This window comes from Homo sapiens, chromosome 2, assembly GCF_000001405.40.
Source record: "Homo sapiens chromosome 2, GRCh38.p14 Primary Assembly".
Classification (NCBI taxonomy): domain Eukaryota; kingdom Metazoa; phylum Chordata; class Mammalia; order Primates; family Hominidae; genus Homo; species Homo sapiens.
Window position 1 is genome coordinate 168,900,389 of NC_000002.12, and position 16,843 is coordinate 168,917,231.

A 16,843-nucleotide genomic window follows, 5' to 3' on the forward strand; every position below is an offset into this window, starting at 1 on the left:
CAGGACCAGAGTCCTGGTCTATAGTCTAGTCATAGTCCACAGCCGTAGATTATGGACCTATGACTTAGATCCACAGCCTCTTTGCGCTACCCTTCTGTTCATTCTTAGCATTTGTTTGGTGCTTTCCACTTCTGTTTAACACTCTGTTCTCAACAAACCATTTTCCTGATTGGTCAAAAGCCCTTTGATGTCTATTCCTATCTTTGTCACATGAATCATTCCCTATTCCTCTCAACTGTATTCTCTAGTTAATAAAAGATACAATTTGATCCTAACACATTTCTATTATCCAAATGACTTTCATTTCTGCTTTCTTGTCTTATAGTCAAAAAACAACACATTTCTTTCCCTGTTCCATATATATTCTATCATTCTCTTGGATAAAGAAAATTGAACTATTCTTATTTTAAATCAGTGATCAGAACATAATCTGTCATATCATATATTTTTCATACCCAGATATTTATTCAACCATTTTCCTCAAAGACCCAATAAAATAGAGAGCCACAGCCTATCTTAAATTAAAATGCAGGGCTTTATGGGCTATTTGACATGCAATAATTATTTGCAAAGTCTTTTCACCAAACATAGAAATTGCTAATGTCTGACCTTGGAGGAAATGAACTGTACAAAAAATTTCAAGCAAACATGATCCAACTGTTCGCACAAAAGGGAGGTTGCATAAGAAATTCATTGTGTTTCTATCCAAATTTCCCCCTCGAATTGCCACAGATCAGCATGTACTTCACTCTTTGCCACCAATTAAAATCATAAATAGATGAGCTATTCAGCAGAGGAGGGCTGGTGTGCCCTCTCCACAGATGGTCAGCATCACATGTTGCAGTAATGGCTCGACATGCCACAAAGGCACAGTATAAAAACGGTGGGAATCAGAGCACTTCAGCTCCAATTGCTCTATGTTTAGAATTGCCTCTTTTTCAAGATGGATTTCCTTCACAGGAATGGAGTGCTCATAATTCAGCATTTGCAGAAGGACTACCGAGCTTACTACACTTTTCTAAATTTTATGTCCAATGTTGGAGACCCCAGGAATATCTTTTTCATTTATTTTCCACTTTGTTTTCAATTTAATCAGACAGTTGGAACCAAGATGATATGGGTAGCAGTCATTGGGGATTGGTTAAATCTTATATTTAAATGGTAAGATTTCTGTTTTATTTCATTTTTTCCTAAGATTTATCCTTAAATTTGTGACTTCGGCATAATGATCACATTTCAGATGTATATCGTTTTACTTGGAAAATCTTTCAAAAATACCAGGTAACTTGAAACACCAGATTCATAAGTAGAACTTTTAAAAGGCACAGAAATGTATATATATGTTTTTGTTTTTTTTTTTTTTTTGAGACAGAGTTTTGCCCTTGTTGCCCAGGATGGAGTGCAATGGCGTGATCTCGGCTCACTGCAACCTCTGCCTCCCAGGTTCAAGCAATTCTCTCACCTCAGCCTCCCGAGTAGCTGGGATTACAGGCATGTGCCACCACACCCAGCTAATTTTGTATTTTTAGTAGAGACAGGGTTTCTCTATGTTGGTCAGGCTGGTCTCTAACTCCCGACCTCAGGTGATCCACCGACTTCGGCTTCCTAAAGTGCTGGGATTACAGGTGTGAGCCACCACGCCAGGCCAGAAATGTGTACTTTAATGACTTATAAGTAATTCCCAAACCCCTGTAACACATATTCTGTGATTAAGAATTACTTACATGAGCAGCGTGATAATGAACAAATTGATAATTCTAGGGACAAATTTTGATATTTCCAGTCTAAGTATCCAAAGCACCCATAAGACATTCCCTGCAAGGGAAAAAAGCCCCCATGTTCATGGGAAACCAGGGTGCCAAAATACCAAATGGCTACCACCTTTAATAATGTGTGAGAGACCAAGACCTAAGTTTTTTCAAAGTCTCTTAATCATGAACTTTCACAATTAACCCTGCGCTTGAGTCATTTTTTATAGGAAAGAATTGCTAATCTCCAATTAAATAATAGCTGTGTATTTAAATATATATGCATGTTTATAATTCTTTAAATACAGGATATTATTTGGTCATCGACCTTACTGGTGGGTCCAAGAAACTCAGATTTACCCAAATCACTCAAGTCCATGCCTTGAACAGTTCCCTACTACATGTGAAACAGGTCCAGGTAAGCTATTACAGCAGGCTCCAGTTACTGAAGATCTTCCAATAGAGAATCATTACACAGGGTTATCATCTAGGAACTGATATTATATAGGGTAGTAAAGAAAATCTCATGAGTGAGGATGCTAAAACTTCATAACAATCAAAATTACTAATGAGGAAGCAAAGCAAAAAAAATACTCAAATTCCATTTTGTTATTTATGAAAGGGTAGATTGGGAGAAAACTCCCCCAGTGATTAAATATTTGGTGTTTACTTTTCAGAAGAATATAATGACTTGATACTAAAACAAGAAACAGTTAACTAGAACAAATTCTCAAGGAACTAGACTAAGATCTTAGAAATGTTGGTTAATCTGCTGCTAAGCAACTTTCAAAGTTACTATAGGTCTTCCGAGTATCTCACGAATGAGGGAGGAGTAGACAAGTCTTCTGTAAGAAAGGTAAGGACTTCTCAATGTTACTATAGCCAGTAAAGACTATTTCTAACCCTAGAACAATCTCTTTAAAACATATTTTTTCTCTGTACACAAGTAGGCTTCTTGGGCCACTTCTTTTTTATTCTAGGTAAGATTCTGTATGAGTATAAAATCTTTATTGTGATAGTTGATTCTAAGACTGTTTTAAAAAGTTTTTTGAAACATATATTTAAAAATTACATTTTAATTTATAAGAATGTGTTATATTGTACCTCATCATTTTACATAGCATAACATTCTCGCCAGTTGACATCCTTCGAAACTAACTTTGAGTAAAGGGTAGTAGAGAATGTGTAAATTCTTAATGAGTGTTCTGAATATGTCTTTTTTGTTCCCATAGAAGTATACATACATCTGTTATATCGCTTATTACACTAAATGATATTAACTAATTCTTTATATATCCGATTGCCTAGACTGGGTGTTCCATCAGGGGAGGGATGATGCATAGTTTATCTTTGTGAAACCAAAGTGTGATAAATGGATGAATGGTTGGATGGGTAACATTTGAGACCACCGAAATGTTATCGTGGTCAATTCCAGTCCTTTCCGGCATGTGTTCCACCTTATAAGACATTTTCTGGAAAGAGAGAGAGAGAAAAGAAAGAAAGACTGCATCTCTCGGGGAGATTTACAATTTTTTAAGGCATAGTTTTTAAAAGGCTCTGAAAATTCCTGCAGATAAGAAATAGGTCTGTCTTTGTTTAACAAATAAGAGACTGGTATTTAATTTGAATGAACTACCAGGTGAAAAATCGAGGAGGACATTTAAGGAAACTAATAAAAAATTCAGTAGCATGGAAAAGGCATTCTGGAAGTAGAAAGGCTTTTTCTGCTAGGATTAATGCCGTCTTTATAGCTTCTCCTCATCCTCTGTTTTAAAACAAAGATTCTCACTGCAGTGGCCACAAGATAGGCATAGAAGTAGCTGCTAGTACACAGCAGTCATTTGTAAGTCAATCAGCAAATCACTGGCATAGCAATGATATCCTTTAGAGTTTGACTTCTCAGCCCAAGGAAAATAAGCCAACTGAAGATCCAATACAAGCATTAGGGTGGTGCAAAAGTAATTGCGGTTTTTGCCATTACTTTCAATGGCAAAAACCGCAATTACTCTTGCATTAACCTAATACTTTTGCTTGTCAATTAAAAACAACCAAATATTGAAGAATGAGTAGGGCTGTGGCAGATTTGGGTGCAACTGCCTGAGTTCTTAATTAGCCTTGAGTATATTGATTTCTGGAATTCAATGAACCTGAAAATCTGGGAAAAAAATTTTTTGAGACAGTGTTTCTCAGGCTCAATTTAACTCAATTTTTCTTATTTCTACCCACTTCTAAACATTACATATAGCCTGTGTCTTGTCTTTTTTTCTGAGTTACTCATAATTTTCATGGGGAATATGCTATTCTATTATTCATTTCTGATCTTGATAGTTAACCACTTTTCAAATGGACGGACACTTTGTTGTTGCAGGAAGTCCATCTGGCCATGCAATGGGCGCATCCTGTGTCTGGTATGTCATGGTAACCGCTGCCCTGAGCCACACTGTCTGTGGGATGGATAAGTTCTCTATCACTCTGCACAGGTCAGCTTTGCTGCAGTTTCTGTAGCACTGGAATATGACAGTTTTTAATACAGAAAGTCTTGTCTAAAAATTAATTTTAGTGCAGTTTTAGTCAATGAATAAAATGTGCTTATTCTATTCTTTCATAGACAAAATAACAAAATGAATAGAAAACTAATATTTTGCTTTAAGATAATAGCCTAATTAGCTCATAGCTATTTCCACTTTTCAAGTTGGAAATGTTTAACTGATTAATGACTTGCTAAATGTGCCTCTGGGTTTCCAAAATGCAATAATTATTTTGATAACTCATAAATAAGTCGTCTAAAATTATACAGCATAAGGAAACATTTTTGCATGCACATTCCCTTGCTTTAAAATTAACTGGAAGTTTTGAGAATCATCATTCTCCTTGACTGCATCAGTTTATTCAGTAAAATTATGCTTCCTTCTTCGAATAGCCAATGCTTTTGATTTCAGTAACATATATTCCAGCTTTATAGAGAGCACAAACTTTTTAATTAAAAACATTCTGGAAGCAAACTTAAATTTGAATGTTAGTAGATTTAATGTTAGTAGGTTTCTTAATGTTTAGAAAGATCTAGAACTTAAAGGTTACTCACAGTTGCTTAGAAATTGGGTTGTTTCCTTCTCTTCTTTCCTGAAATACTTTGTCATTAAAACAATCCTGAGTACCAATTTAGCCATAAATTAGGTGACTTGAAATTAGATTTGCAAGTTAACCTTAAAAAAATACTGTAACATATGCCATTATTAAAAAGTTTTCTAAAATAAAAAAAGTCAAGATCTATCACATATTCCACTTGTTAGAGTAGTATTGGATAATATAAAAAACAAACAACTAAAGGAATTTGGGTGTCTTAAAAGTTTATTCTAATGAGACTGTGACCTGTATGCCTTAATGTATTTATTGCCCAACCCAAAACAACAACATAAAAAGGTGCTATAATGTAAAAAAGTTAGCATTTTCTATTTACAGACAATTTTCAAAGTAGGAATCTAGGTCAGTTTCACCTTTTCTCTATACTGTATTCCTGCCTCCAATGACCAAACCTGAAAAAATATGTTTCTTCTAAGAAAAAAATTCTCATAACTCCTTTTTAGTTTTTATAACTGCAGTATTTTCTTCATCTATAAAATTTTACTGAGTGTGTGCTTCTTACCTTTACATTACCAAATTCTTGTTTATTCTTCTTCCACATTGGTATCCCACTTACTTCTTCTTTCAAAGCCTCATTTCTCTGTGTTCCTTAGCATTTATATAACCAAATTTCAGTCTGATTATCAGGAACAAACCATTCAAGGATTCCTAGAACTCAATACTGCTAACACTTTTTTTTTTCAATGACATGCATTGCTTGGATTTTAATATTTTTTTATGTTTTTTGTGCATTGCTGTTTTTAATCCAAAGTGTATAACCTATAGGTCAATTCCCCTGTTCTCTATTTTCTGTGTCTCAAAAAAAAAAAAACAAACAAAACAAAACCCAAAACAAAAGAAAAAAAAAAAACAAGAAACAAGGACTTTTGAAAATCTGTGCAATTAAACCCAATGAAAAAATTTGCCCCAGATGGAATGCTCATGCGCTTTTCATCTGGATGGTAGCTGCGTTTCTACTGAGTTTTCCTCAAGCAAAGAAAGGTTGAGAGAGGAGGCACATAGGGCAGGGCGTGAAAATATATATGGTTCATTCTTGATCATTCTGGATATTAGTAATTCCCCCAAACTTGAATTTCCCCTACTCCATTAAAACAGTTATTCTTATTTAATGGATGTCAAAATGACTTCCTTTTTAACATTTATTAAATCTCAGTATATAGCACTGGTTAAATTTAATGCATTGAGAAATGTAGAAATCTCTGTTAAAACTTCTCAAATCCTATGGGGTATGTGGAAACAACATTTTGAAAAAAAAGATTCTAGAATCATGATGCTATGTCACAGTTAGAAGATTCTTCTGAGAAGGATCATCTGATGTCACCCCCTCTAATTTTGAGTGATCCAGTTTCTTTGCTTTTTATGCTTGTATCTATTCTTCCATCGTAGACTGACCTGGTCATTTCTTTGGAGTGTTTTTTGGTTGATTCAAATCAGTGTCTGCATCTCCAGAGTATTCATAGCAACACATTTTCCTCATCAAGTTATTCTTGGAGTAATTGGTGGTAAATATGATCACTTACCTTTAGCTGTGTCCTTTGAAAGCTTTAGTTTCATTATGTTTAAGGGTATCAGATTGTCCCCGGTAATCAACTTTCCAATTTCAGAGGTAATTCTGTGAAGTCACTGATACTAAATGCTACCCCGGGAGCTGACGTGGTACAACACACCTCTCATAGCCTCCATGTACAAAGTGGCACAATCTCAGTGGCGTAAATGCACAATTGCTTCATGAGGTAGGCTTTTCTGAAGTGAAATTAGAGCTAAGTCTAACTCCCAAACCATCACTTCAGACAGTGTGCTTGTGTCTTGCGTGAGGGAACTTAATGACTCTGAGCCCTGCACACTGTGCCATTCTCTCTGAAACATGTGAAGTGACTATTACATGATTACGGACTCCATTTAGTAGCTGCTTTGTATTCCTGAAGCAGTGTTCACCATGACTCAGTTTCCATTGTTCAGCACCACCTTACCTTTCAAAGGCTAATTGGCTATGGCAATTGAAATGTTAATTGCAAGTACCTAGATCAGTGCTCTGTCTAAAAAGCGGGTTGTCAGTCAGTGCCACCAACTCCAGAACGATCCTTCTGGACTAGTATGAATAATGAAAACACCGTGGGCAAACCTGCATTTTTAGTTACTGCCTAAAAAAGGCTTTGGAAAATGGATAGAACCTCTGTGTCTAATGCCCTTTGTCATTGAAAACTGTGGCAAATCTTTAATGCAGAGAGGAATGATCCTCGAGGGGCTCAAGGGCACACAGTCATTGTCAGTGTCTCTTTCCAATCCTCAGGCATGCTGGTGGCAGAGGCCTTTGAACACACTCCAGGCATCCAAACGGCCAGTCTGGGCACATACCTGAAGACCAACCTCTTTCTCTTCCTGTTTGCAGTTGGCTTTTACCTGCTTCTTAGGGTGCTCAACATTGACCTGCTGTGGTCCGTGCCCATAGCCAAAAAGTGGTGTGCTAACCCCGACTGGATCCACATTGACACCACGCCTTTTGCTGGACTCGTGAGAAACCTTGGGGTCCTCTTTGGCTTGGGCTTTGCAATCAACTCAGAGATGTTCCTCCTGAGCTGCCGAGGGGGAAATAACTACACACTGAGCTTCCGGTTGCTCTGTGCCTTGACCTCATTGACAATACTGCAGCTCTACCATTTCCTCCAGATCCCGACTCACGAAGAGCATTTATTTTATGTGCTGTCTTTTTGTAAAAGTGCATCCATTCCCCTAACTGTGGTTGCTTTCATTCCCTACTCTGTTCATATGTTAATGAAACAAAGCGGAAAGAAGAGTCAGTAGAGTGGTGCCTAGAGTTAGTGCTCTGTGTCACAGATCACCCTTCTCCATCCACCAGTAGAGCCACAGAGTAGGCACAGACCAGAGGCTTCTAATCCGACTTCACAGAATAGCGGCACAGGCCCCATTCCCCATAGAGATGTTTAGTTTGGCCTTCGCACTGGTCTTTTTTTTTAATCCTTCAGTTACCAATATTTAGATACAAGAATATTTGACATAAAAATCGGAAGTTCTGTATTTCTTGAAAAATCTGATAGTATGACAACACAGAGCCTGCATCCCCAGCTGGAGACAACTGACCAGAGCTGCATACTAACAGTCCCCAGTAGGAGGCAAGGACTCCATTTTCTCACAGTCTTCAGCATCCCAGCAGGAGCCCCACTATGATTCCTTTATCTTCTTAAGGCCAGGCTGCATCTGATTCCTGTTGACATTTTAGTGGGGACCACAGCCATATCCAGTTTCAGTTTTCAGATGAGGAAATGGAAGCCTATTTAGGTAAAAGAACTTGCCTGGAGTCACGCCACCTTCAGAGCAGGAATTAGAACCCAAGGCTTCTGACACATATCCCCATTACACTGTGTGTTTGAGTGTGCACACATGCACATGCTTTTTGTTTGTATGTTTCCTTTTTAGAACCAGGGACTTGCTCTGTTGCCCAGGCTGGAGTGCAGTGGTGGATAGCGGCTCACTGCAGCCTCAAACTCCTGGCTCAAATGATCCTCCCTCCTCAGCCTCCCATTAGCTAAGACTACAGGTGTGCACCACCATGCCTGGCTAATTTTTGAATATTTTTTAGAGCCAGCTTCTTACTATATTTGCCCAGGCTGGTCTTGAACTCCTGGCCTCAAGGAGTTCCCTTGAGGATGTTCCACCCATGTCAGCCTCCCACAGTGCTGGGATTGCAGGCTTGAGCCATTGTATTAATAGTTGGCCTACACTGTCTTTTGTTTCTTCATTTACAAGAGGTAAAAATCAGTAAGAATGAATGCTTTCATTTAGATTCTATGATGACTGCCATATAAATCAGCTACCTTTTCAGAAATGACATTGAAATACTGCATCCTCTTTGACTTATACCCCACACATACATGCAGGGTCTAGGTGGGACCAACAGTGGCTCCAGATGTATATACACACGGGTCCAGGGACAACAGAACAGGCCAGGCTACAGTATGGACTTGAACCTCTGCTTCACTTCTGGTCTCTGTTTTACAGTAGTGCTCACCAATATTTCAATAAATTCTACTGAACTTACTCTAATAGAACATTATTCAACCCCCAAAGACTTATCTCTTCACTATGACATCTCCATACTTTATTTTTAGGAGACAGACTTTCAAAACCAGAGAAATCAGGTGCCTTCCTCAAGGTCATGCTCCAACCCAGGCCAACTATTAAATGCTTGCATCTGTTAGCTGGATTAGTCTCTATGTATACTGAACTGTGATGAAAATCTATAGCTTTGTTTTAGAAAATTATTGTTGATGGACTATTAATATTATATTAACAATTTCTCAGTAAGTGTGTTTTTTCCTCATTGAATCTAGGAATGCTGGGCTTTAAGTTGATAACTGTGTCATTTCAATCAAGTACAAGGATTTTGAGGCAGATTTTGCTAGATATCTTAGTAATCCCCCACAATGTTTTATGTAACTCTTCTCAGAATATCAATACATTAATTATTTTAGATGACATATTAAATAATCTATGAATATTAATGAAAACAATACAGTTGAAGTGAGTGTTGTTTAACATGATAGTAGCTGAGGATAACAAACCTCAAAAAATCAAAGTATTAATTACTCCTTTCCAAGTATATGTATAGAGCATGTGTCATTGCTTTTATAAAACGCACTTAATAGCTTTCTTTCTAAAAGGCAACTGAACTTTCTAAAAGGTAAATAAACTGAACTTGATATTAGTGGTTCGGTGATTCCAAAGCAAAAAGCTGAGGGATTAAGAAAGAATAGCTTAAGAATGAAATTTGTCTCATGTTGCTGGGACATTTGGGATGAAAGAAGTAGAGAAGAATGATTCTTCAGGTGATGACCGTTGCTCATTGGTTCAGTCCCACCCTATGTCCCACCATGCTGTACCTTTAGATGCCTTCACATTTCATGATACATTTGTGTCATTACATCTTCCACACATCAGAGATCTCATTCCTGTCTAAAAGCCCTTTGCCAAATTTCACATAAGATAATGTTAGTCTTGAAGGATTCTGGTACATCCCCTTCATCCTAGTACAATCTCAGCCTGCTTTCAGCAAGGCCTGAGGAAACCGGCATTAATAGCCAGGGAATTCTGCAGCAATGATTGACTCTACCATAAATCCGTTCTCCGTTTCCATGGAGAAAGCTATCTTCAGCCACCCCATGGTGCTGTCTGTTGGGCAACACATTACCCTCAGAGGGGACTGGGATGAAGTGTGGGCTTGTTTTCTATAATTAATCCCCAAGAACTCTGCCCCTATCTTCCATAAAAACCCCAGAGTCCCCATGGGAGTAGATTTCCCTCTTTATTCTAGTTGAAGTCTCCTGGAGGGATCCATATGGTGGTAAATTGTTTTTGCAATTGAAACGCCTTAGGCAGCAAGAGGAATCGTTTTTCACAGCCTTGGAGAAAATGCCTGCCCTTAATAATGATGGAAAAGACTCTTCTGTTTCCAATTTATTTGTCAGAAGTAAGTGGAATTGAGCTCATTAAATACTGTTACTATAACCATATATTCAAAATGTCTACCTATCTACATATTCAGGAGAAAAATGTCAATACCATGAGCTTTTAGGATGAGAAAATCTAGACAAGAAAATCTGACTCAAGAGAAAATCTGACTCAAGAAACTGTCCAATCAAACCTACATTTGGAAAAAAAATACAAAATAATTTATTATTGCTGAAACTAGCTATCAGGAAGAATATTAGTTCCTTTCCTTTGACAACCTATTGATTGGACATCTGCCTAAGAAGGTTAAGTTGGTGCCTTCTTTAGACATATTTCATTATAAAACAGATGGTGATTAAAAGAATTGTTATAAGATGTCCTTGAAACTAAAAGTCAAATGTTGAAATGCTTTACATTTTTTCAAAATTTTTAAATAAATTCAAGATCAAATTGGTACATACATACAAAAATCTTGGTTTAAGAAAAAGTCAAGTGACTTGGTTCTAAAAATGAGATTCTTTTCTTAAGTATTTTAAAACTGTATATTCCAGCACTCTTCAATTGAACTTTTACAGTGATGGAGATGTTCTCTATCTGTGCTGTCCAATATAGTAGCCACTGGCCACAGATGTTTATTGAGCTCTTGAAATGTAGCTGATGCAACTGAGGAAGTGCATTTTTTTTTTTTTTGAGACGGAGTCTCGCTCTGTTGCCCAGGCTGGAGTGCAGTGGCGCGATCTCGGTTCACTGCAAGCTCTGCCTCCTGGGTTCATGCCATTCTCCTGCCTCAGCCTCCGGAGTAGCTGGGACTATAGGCACCTGCCACCACACCTGGCTAATTTTTTTGTATTTTTAATAGAGACAGGGTTTCTCCGTGTTAGCCAGGATGGTCTCGATCTCCTGACCTCGTGACCCGCCCGCCTCAGCCTCCCAAAGTGCTGGGATTACAGGCGTGAGCCACCAAGCCCTGCCGGAAATGCATTTTTAACCTTCATTTACTTTTAATTTACATTTCAATAGCCATGTGTGTCTAGTGGCTACTGAATTGGACAGCACAAATCAAGTCTCACAGTGATTTTCCTTGAAAATAAAACCCAAGTATTTTGTATATTGTCACTTTTGCCATGTTCCTGTGAGACAACATGAATCAGCGTTAACGGCTCTAAGAAGTTAACAGATATTGCTGCATTTTCCAAAGGGACCCTCTGCAGACCTGGATTCTCTCTCTGCAGCTCCCTTCTCTCTCATTCTGTCCTGTGAGCAATAGCCGCCTTGGTGTCCCTGGACTCTCAGCTCTGTTGCCTGGAATCAGAGAGTCTGGGTTCACCCTCCCTGCACCATGTTCTGGAAACCCTCTAAGGTACACAATACTAGCGGGGAGCTTTACCCAGTCCATGACCACATTCTGGATGGCTGGTTGGCTTTCTGACGAAGCCTCCCTGCTTCTCTGGGTCTAGCACACATCAATGCCCAACACCTGTACTTCTGTGGCTATTCATAAAGTCTTCCAAAAAGGACCGCTCGTGTCCAGTTGCCCCTGAGGATTTTGCCCTCATTGATGGGCTGTCCTAGGCACTTTGGAAATGGCAAACAGCTTCTAGGATGAATTTCTAGATCTCAATATTGCCAGGAAACTAAAATGGGGGTCTAACTTTTCCCCTCCCCTTACTTCGAATGCTTTCAGATGGTGATTTCACTCTGAAGGTAATGTGGTGCCATTTGCCAATTGTTAAAAGTCTATTTTTTTAAAGTTAACAGTAGAAAAGATCTATAAGAAGCAACGACTCCAGAAATTTCTGCCAAATGACAGAAATTCACGAGAAGATTCTAAGACTTAGAAGTGCTTCATTTTCGGCTCTGTAAAGGACGAATGCAGTTTATGCCAAATTTGAGGCAGGTCTGGTGTGGAGTACTAATTACTGTCTGCTATCCTTTGAGGGAGAGCACAGTAATGACTCAGATGAAATCACTTCTCATTTCTTTTGGCAGCATAGAAGTAATTGCTCTAAAGGAGGGGAAAAGCTTCAACGATTAAGGTTATAAAAGTTAGCATAAAACCGATTGTCTTCTGTTCTGAATTTTTAAATTTCTTAGTTTTTCTTTTTTTCTAATGTTTTGCCATGTGATTTCTGAAGAGAATCTGTCCTCAGTTCAAAAACCATGATATTTCCCCAAAGAACAATATGTTCTGAAGGAGCTGCCAGGACAGGGGCAGGTAATGAGTGAAGGCAGCAGCTGCGGTCCCGCCGAACGGGACTCCTGGCGCAGCGCGGGGAGGAACGTAGGCGCTGGCAGCACAGCAGCCCGTTTCTGGCGCTGGCCAAGTGGAAACTGAAGCGGCCTCCCTGGGAGGATCTGGGTGCGCTGCAGGGGGAGCAGGCCATCTGTGTGCCTGGAAAAGAAACCCAGCACTACCGAAGACAAAGAAGAGCTTCTTTACTCTCGCACTCACCTACCCCTGTACGTCAACTGAGCCGATCACACTCTAATTCCTGTTCAAAGAGTTGGCTTTTTCCAGGATTCAGGCTTTGTCTGATGAACAGCATGGACCGGATTGTCATCTGTGCTCATACATCCTGCTGCTAATAGAAGATGGGCACTATCTTCCACCCGCCCCGCCCCGCCCCGCCCCCTTGCCTCCAGGCTCAGTAATTCTGCATCAAAAACATTTCTACATAATCATTCCTTTCTTTTTTTTTTTAAGCAATTGTTCAAATAAAAAAATGGTAGAGCTCTTGCTATATTTCTAGATGAAAACTGCATTGACTTAACAAAATAAAAATAAATGTTCCTGTCTGAGTTTTGGAGATGTGTGTGTGTGTGTGTGTGTGTGCGTGTGTGTGTGTATCTTATTCTCTTAGCTTTGGAATGCTGATGCCCTGCTCACCCTGGCCAAGCAAGAGGTTGCGCCACAGGTCCACATGTGGATCCCAGAGGAAGTCAGAATGCAGGTAGGCAGGTGCCAGGAAATTCAAAGGCAGATCGATGTACAAAGGCCTTCGTGGAGTTTAGCAACCAGCATCCTGGACTGGAGTCATCAGAACTACATTCTAGCCTGGCCCTGCATCTAACCACTAAAACTCCAGAAGGCCATTTAGTGTTGGTGGCCTCAGTTTACCCAGTTCTCAACTGAGGAGTTTAGTATGGGGTTAAAATGGAAGGTTCATTCACGGTGTGATATTCTTCAACTCTGAGGGTCTCATTCAGTCCAACATATTGTGCTTTGTCTCTCCAACCAGCTCCTCTATTTTGTTTGCTCTTTGTGAAGCACTATCTTCACAGAAGGCTTTCAGATGTATTGTTAATTTTTTTGTGAAGTGGAGCAAGAAGGTGATAAGACCCTGGCTAATGTGTTTTGATACTGTTTTAATTTTAGTTACATGCAATGAACAAGGCTATAACTTCTACAAAGCACTCTGTTTTGAAATGTGCTACTTTATTAAACAATTTTGGACCAGTCTTTAAAACATTCGATTCTAATTAGAATCTGAATTTTATAGCAATAAAAAAGTACATGGAGAGATAATTTAACTGATGTTATGGGGCAAAATTATTAACGTGAGAATAGCCATAGACTTCCTGCTATGCTATCTTGCAACAGAAATCCTATAATTAAATTCCAACTCCAGTTCCCCTTTCTCAACATCCTAAAGAAGAAATTCTTGCTGGAAGAGATACTAAGCAGATCACATAATAATAGGCTGAATGAGAAGAAAGGAAGGAGAGGGAAACTTGGCTTTGTGGGAGGTAAGGTTGGAGAGCTTACATGACGGAGCTGAATGAGGAAAGTGACTAGAGTTTTGACACAGCATTTTAGTAAGTTTATTGTGGAGTAATTACGGATTTCTCAAAGACATAAAGATAAAATTTACTTTTTAATTTTTTATGGCTGTTGAAATGTGCTTCCTGAATGAAACACAACTCTGACACCAAGTTACATGATGCCAGGCTTTTTGAGGATGAACAAAATTAGAAATCCAGATCCAAAAAGCTTCTAAAATCTCCACGGACTTAACTAGGGCCCTTTCTGTCCATGCTTGTCTTTTAACTCACCCACCCACCAGACCAGAATGTATTAAATGCCTTCAGCTGCTGGAGATGCAAGGGTGAGTTCAATATAGGCTCTTCCCTGGGGGGAGGCCTCCATTGATTCTGGGCTCACTTGCAACAGATCTGGGTGGACTCCAGGGATACCTCTGGCCTGTGGACTTGAAGAATTGGTTTGTGACTATTTCCAGCTATAAATTAACTGGGAACTTTACTCCCCATTTCTTCTAACCCATCCTTTTTCAAATTCATCCTTTCTTGAACCACTTTTTCTTCCCACCTCTGGCATATCCTGTCAAAGGGATCTAGATTGTTCCCAGTCTAACATCAATTTTATCACGTGAAAGGATGAGAAAGCATATTCAAAAAACACTAAGTGCCTAAAGTAAAAGCTTCCTTCATTTAAAGCAGGGCATGTGCAATGTTCCAGGAAAGAAAGAGCTGCCAGGACACCCATCCAGTGATATCGTCTTTCCATGGCAGTGATACTAGGTAAAAAAGACCGATTCCTCCTTTCACTGAATATTTTTGGAATATCTCTAGATATAATGATCATATTTGAAGATCATTTAAGAATGCATTAATACTTCAATATTGTGTTATTTTCTTTATACTTACATTTCAGGATTTTTATTAATAAAGATCTATTGAGTAAGATTGTATTAATTTTTAGTTAACAGCAACAACAACAACAACAAACACAATTACAAAAAAACTACTTCAGTGGCTTAAACAAGTGAGAGGTGTCTTTTTCTTCTGTAACAAGATGGGTGAAGGCAGGCAACCCAGGCTGAAGTAGCTGCACAAAGGATGTTCAGGAATCAGGCTGAATATCTTCCTGCTCTGCCATCTGTGGTGTGTGGCTTTTGTCCAAGTGATCACAGCATGGCTGCTGTGCATTCAGGAAAGAAGAAAGGGGGAAGAGACTCAGGTTTTCTTTTACCCAGGCTTTATTCAGAAAGGGACAGCCTGCATAGGGCCTTGTGCCTATATTTCATTGACAAGACAATGTCACCTGGCCTTCATCTAGCTGCAAGGGAGTCTAGGAAGGTAAATATTTTGCTTTCCAGCCTCTGTAATAGAGGAAAGCAAAAGAAAAGCGTGTCGGATTGGGTGTCAAGAGAGACAACACCTGCCATAGTGACTTATCACCTACATAACAATGAATGCAACACTCAGCTGCATCTCTCCCTGCAGCCTGCCAAACTATTTTGCAGTAACATGCTAAAACCATGAAGGCAAAATGCTTTATGAACATTATCAGGAAGTATATTTCAATGATTAAATTTTCACCTTCCAAGAAATGTTATTGAAACTCTGCTCATTTCTTACTTTGATTCTATACTTGAGATATGAAAAAGAAACCAAATACCACAAAGGTTTTATCTTTTTTGGTAATCTTGTATAATAATCATAGGCACTTGTTCTCTGTCACCCTTAGCGAACATTTCCATTTCTATCTCCAGCTCTTCTGCTATCTCCAGCTCTCCTGTTCTCACATTTATTTTGTATTTGAGAGCAGGAGCTGTACCTGAATTACAGGAAGGAGGAAATTGCCAATTCACCAGCTGGCTCTGTATTTTTTCTTTTTACATAACACATTCTGTCCTAACTCCAATTTATTGGGTTGAGTAGTTGCATTCGGATAGCCACATGCCAATCACGAGTACCCTGATTACTCATTATGAGCCTCAGGATACCATACAACTCGCTAATGAGCACATTATAATGCTGGCCAGTGCTAATTAGATGATAATCATGTGCATTGCTTTATTTACAGTCTGCTATTTAAATTAATTGGGCATTTAATTGAACCCAGTGTGAAAGAAATTGGAAATGGGTTTAGAGGTTCACTGAGTTACTTTCACCTGCCGTCTCACATGCAGGTGAGATCATTTACTTGATCTGTAAATTTAGAGCAAATCCAAGTGGACACAGTGCTCATTTTATGATGGTACACATGTATATGTAAATTTCTCTCCAAGTGTGTTTGAAAACAACCAAATTCTTAATTTTGTATTTCCTCTAACATCCTTTTGTGCCTTGATTATGGAGAGATTTTGCATGCATAAGAAATATTTAATAAATCAAACCCTTAGTTGGAAATATGAGGTGGGATCCTAAACCAACATGATGAAACTGTTCTGATATTTTCTTACGATAAGAAACTGATATTTAATTATTGAATAAATATATGGCAAACTATACCTAATTATGATCCTATGTATTTTACACTTTCAGAATATAGTATTAAAATATTCCAGGACCTACATTTTAAAATGAGTGTATAATTGCCAAAAATTATAGGCACGGGGGCAGCACCAAATTCAAAGAATCTTTTCATTGAAATAATTTCCTAAGGGCACATGTAGAGTACATTTAGAGTAACTATATAAAAAAGAGTTTTTGGACAAAAAAACTAGAGGCCAATTTTTCTACCT

The 16,843-nt window shown here is 38.6% G+C and overlaps 2 protein-coding genes across 5 annotated transcripts in view, besides 3 other annotated features; one reads left to right on the top strand and one right to left on the bottom strand.

Moving 5' to 3' along the window:
* G6PC2 (glucose-6-phosphatase catalytic subunit 2) lies at positions 903-9,612 on the top strand. 4 transcript variants are annotated; one of them, NM_021176.3, is made up of 5 exons: positions 903-1,161; positions 2,057-2,166; positions 4,117-4,228; positions 6,276-6,391; positions 7,180-9,612. In NM_021176.3, the coding sequence occupies exons 1-5, from the start codon at positions 944-946 to the stop codon at positions 7,689-7,691; spliced, it is 1,068 nt and encodes a 355-aa protein (NP_066999.1). In that variant the 5' UTR covers positions 903-943; the 3' UTR covers positions 7,692-9,612. The 4 variants fall into 4 exon arrangements, with proteins under 4 accessions (NP_066999.1, NP_001075155.1, XP_011509867.1 ...); NM_001081686.2 differs by lacking the exon at positions 6,276-6,391; XM_011511565.4 differs by lacking the exon at positions 2,057-2,166.
* Positions 7,555-8,350: an enhancer, noted in NCBI's record as "OCT4-NANOG-H3K27ac-H3K4me1 hESC enhancer chr2:169764453-169765248 (GRCh37/hg19 assembly coordinates)". NCBI's record gives its function as "activates a minimal SCP1, AML or CMV promoter by ChIP-STARR-seq in naive H9 embryonic stem cells {active_cell/tissue: H9 hESC(naive)}" and the evidence as "EXISTENCE:reporter gene assay evidence [ECO:0000049][PMID:30033119]".
* Positions 12,125-12,660: an enhancer, noted in NCBI's record as "H3K27ac-H3K4me1 hESC enhancer chr2:169769023-169769558 (GRCh37/hg19 assembly coordinates)". NCBI's record gives its function as "activates a minimal SCP1, AML or CMV promoter by ChIP-STARR-seq in primed H9 embryonic stem cells {active_cell/tissue: H9 hESC(primed)}" and the evidence as "EXISTENCE:reporter gene assay evidence [ECO:0000049][PMID:30033119]".
* Positions 12,661-13,195: an enhancer, noted in NCBI's record as "H3K27ac-H3K4me1 hESC enhancer chr2:169769559-169770093 (GRCh37/hg19 assembly coordinates)". NCBI's record gives its function as "activates a minimal SCP1, AML or CMV promoter by ChIP-STARR-seq in primed H9 embryonic stem cells {active_cell/tissue: H9 hESC(primed)}" and the evidence as "EXISTENCE:reporter gene assay evidence [ECO:0000049][PMID:30033119]".
* Positions 15,002-16,843, bottom strand: part of ABCB11 (ATP binding cassette subfamily B member 11) — a 115,935-nt gene continuing 114,093 nt past the window's right edge. The window contains exon 28 of the mRNA XM_017005165.2: positions 15,002-15,294. Within this exon, the coding sequence (XP_016860654.1) occupies positions 15,217-15,294 (78 nt within the window). The 3' untranslated portion in view covers positions 15,002-15,216. The remainder of the gene's footprint in view (positions 15,295-16,843) is intronic.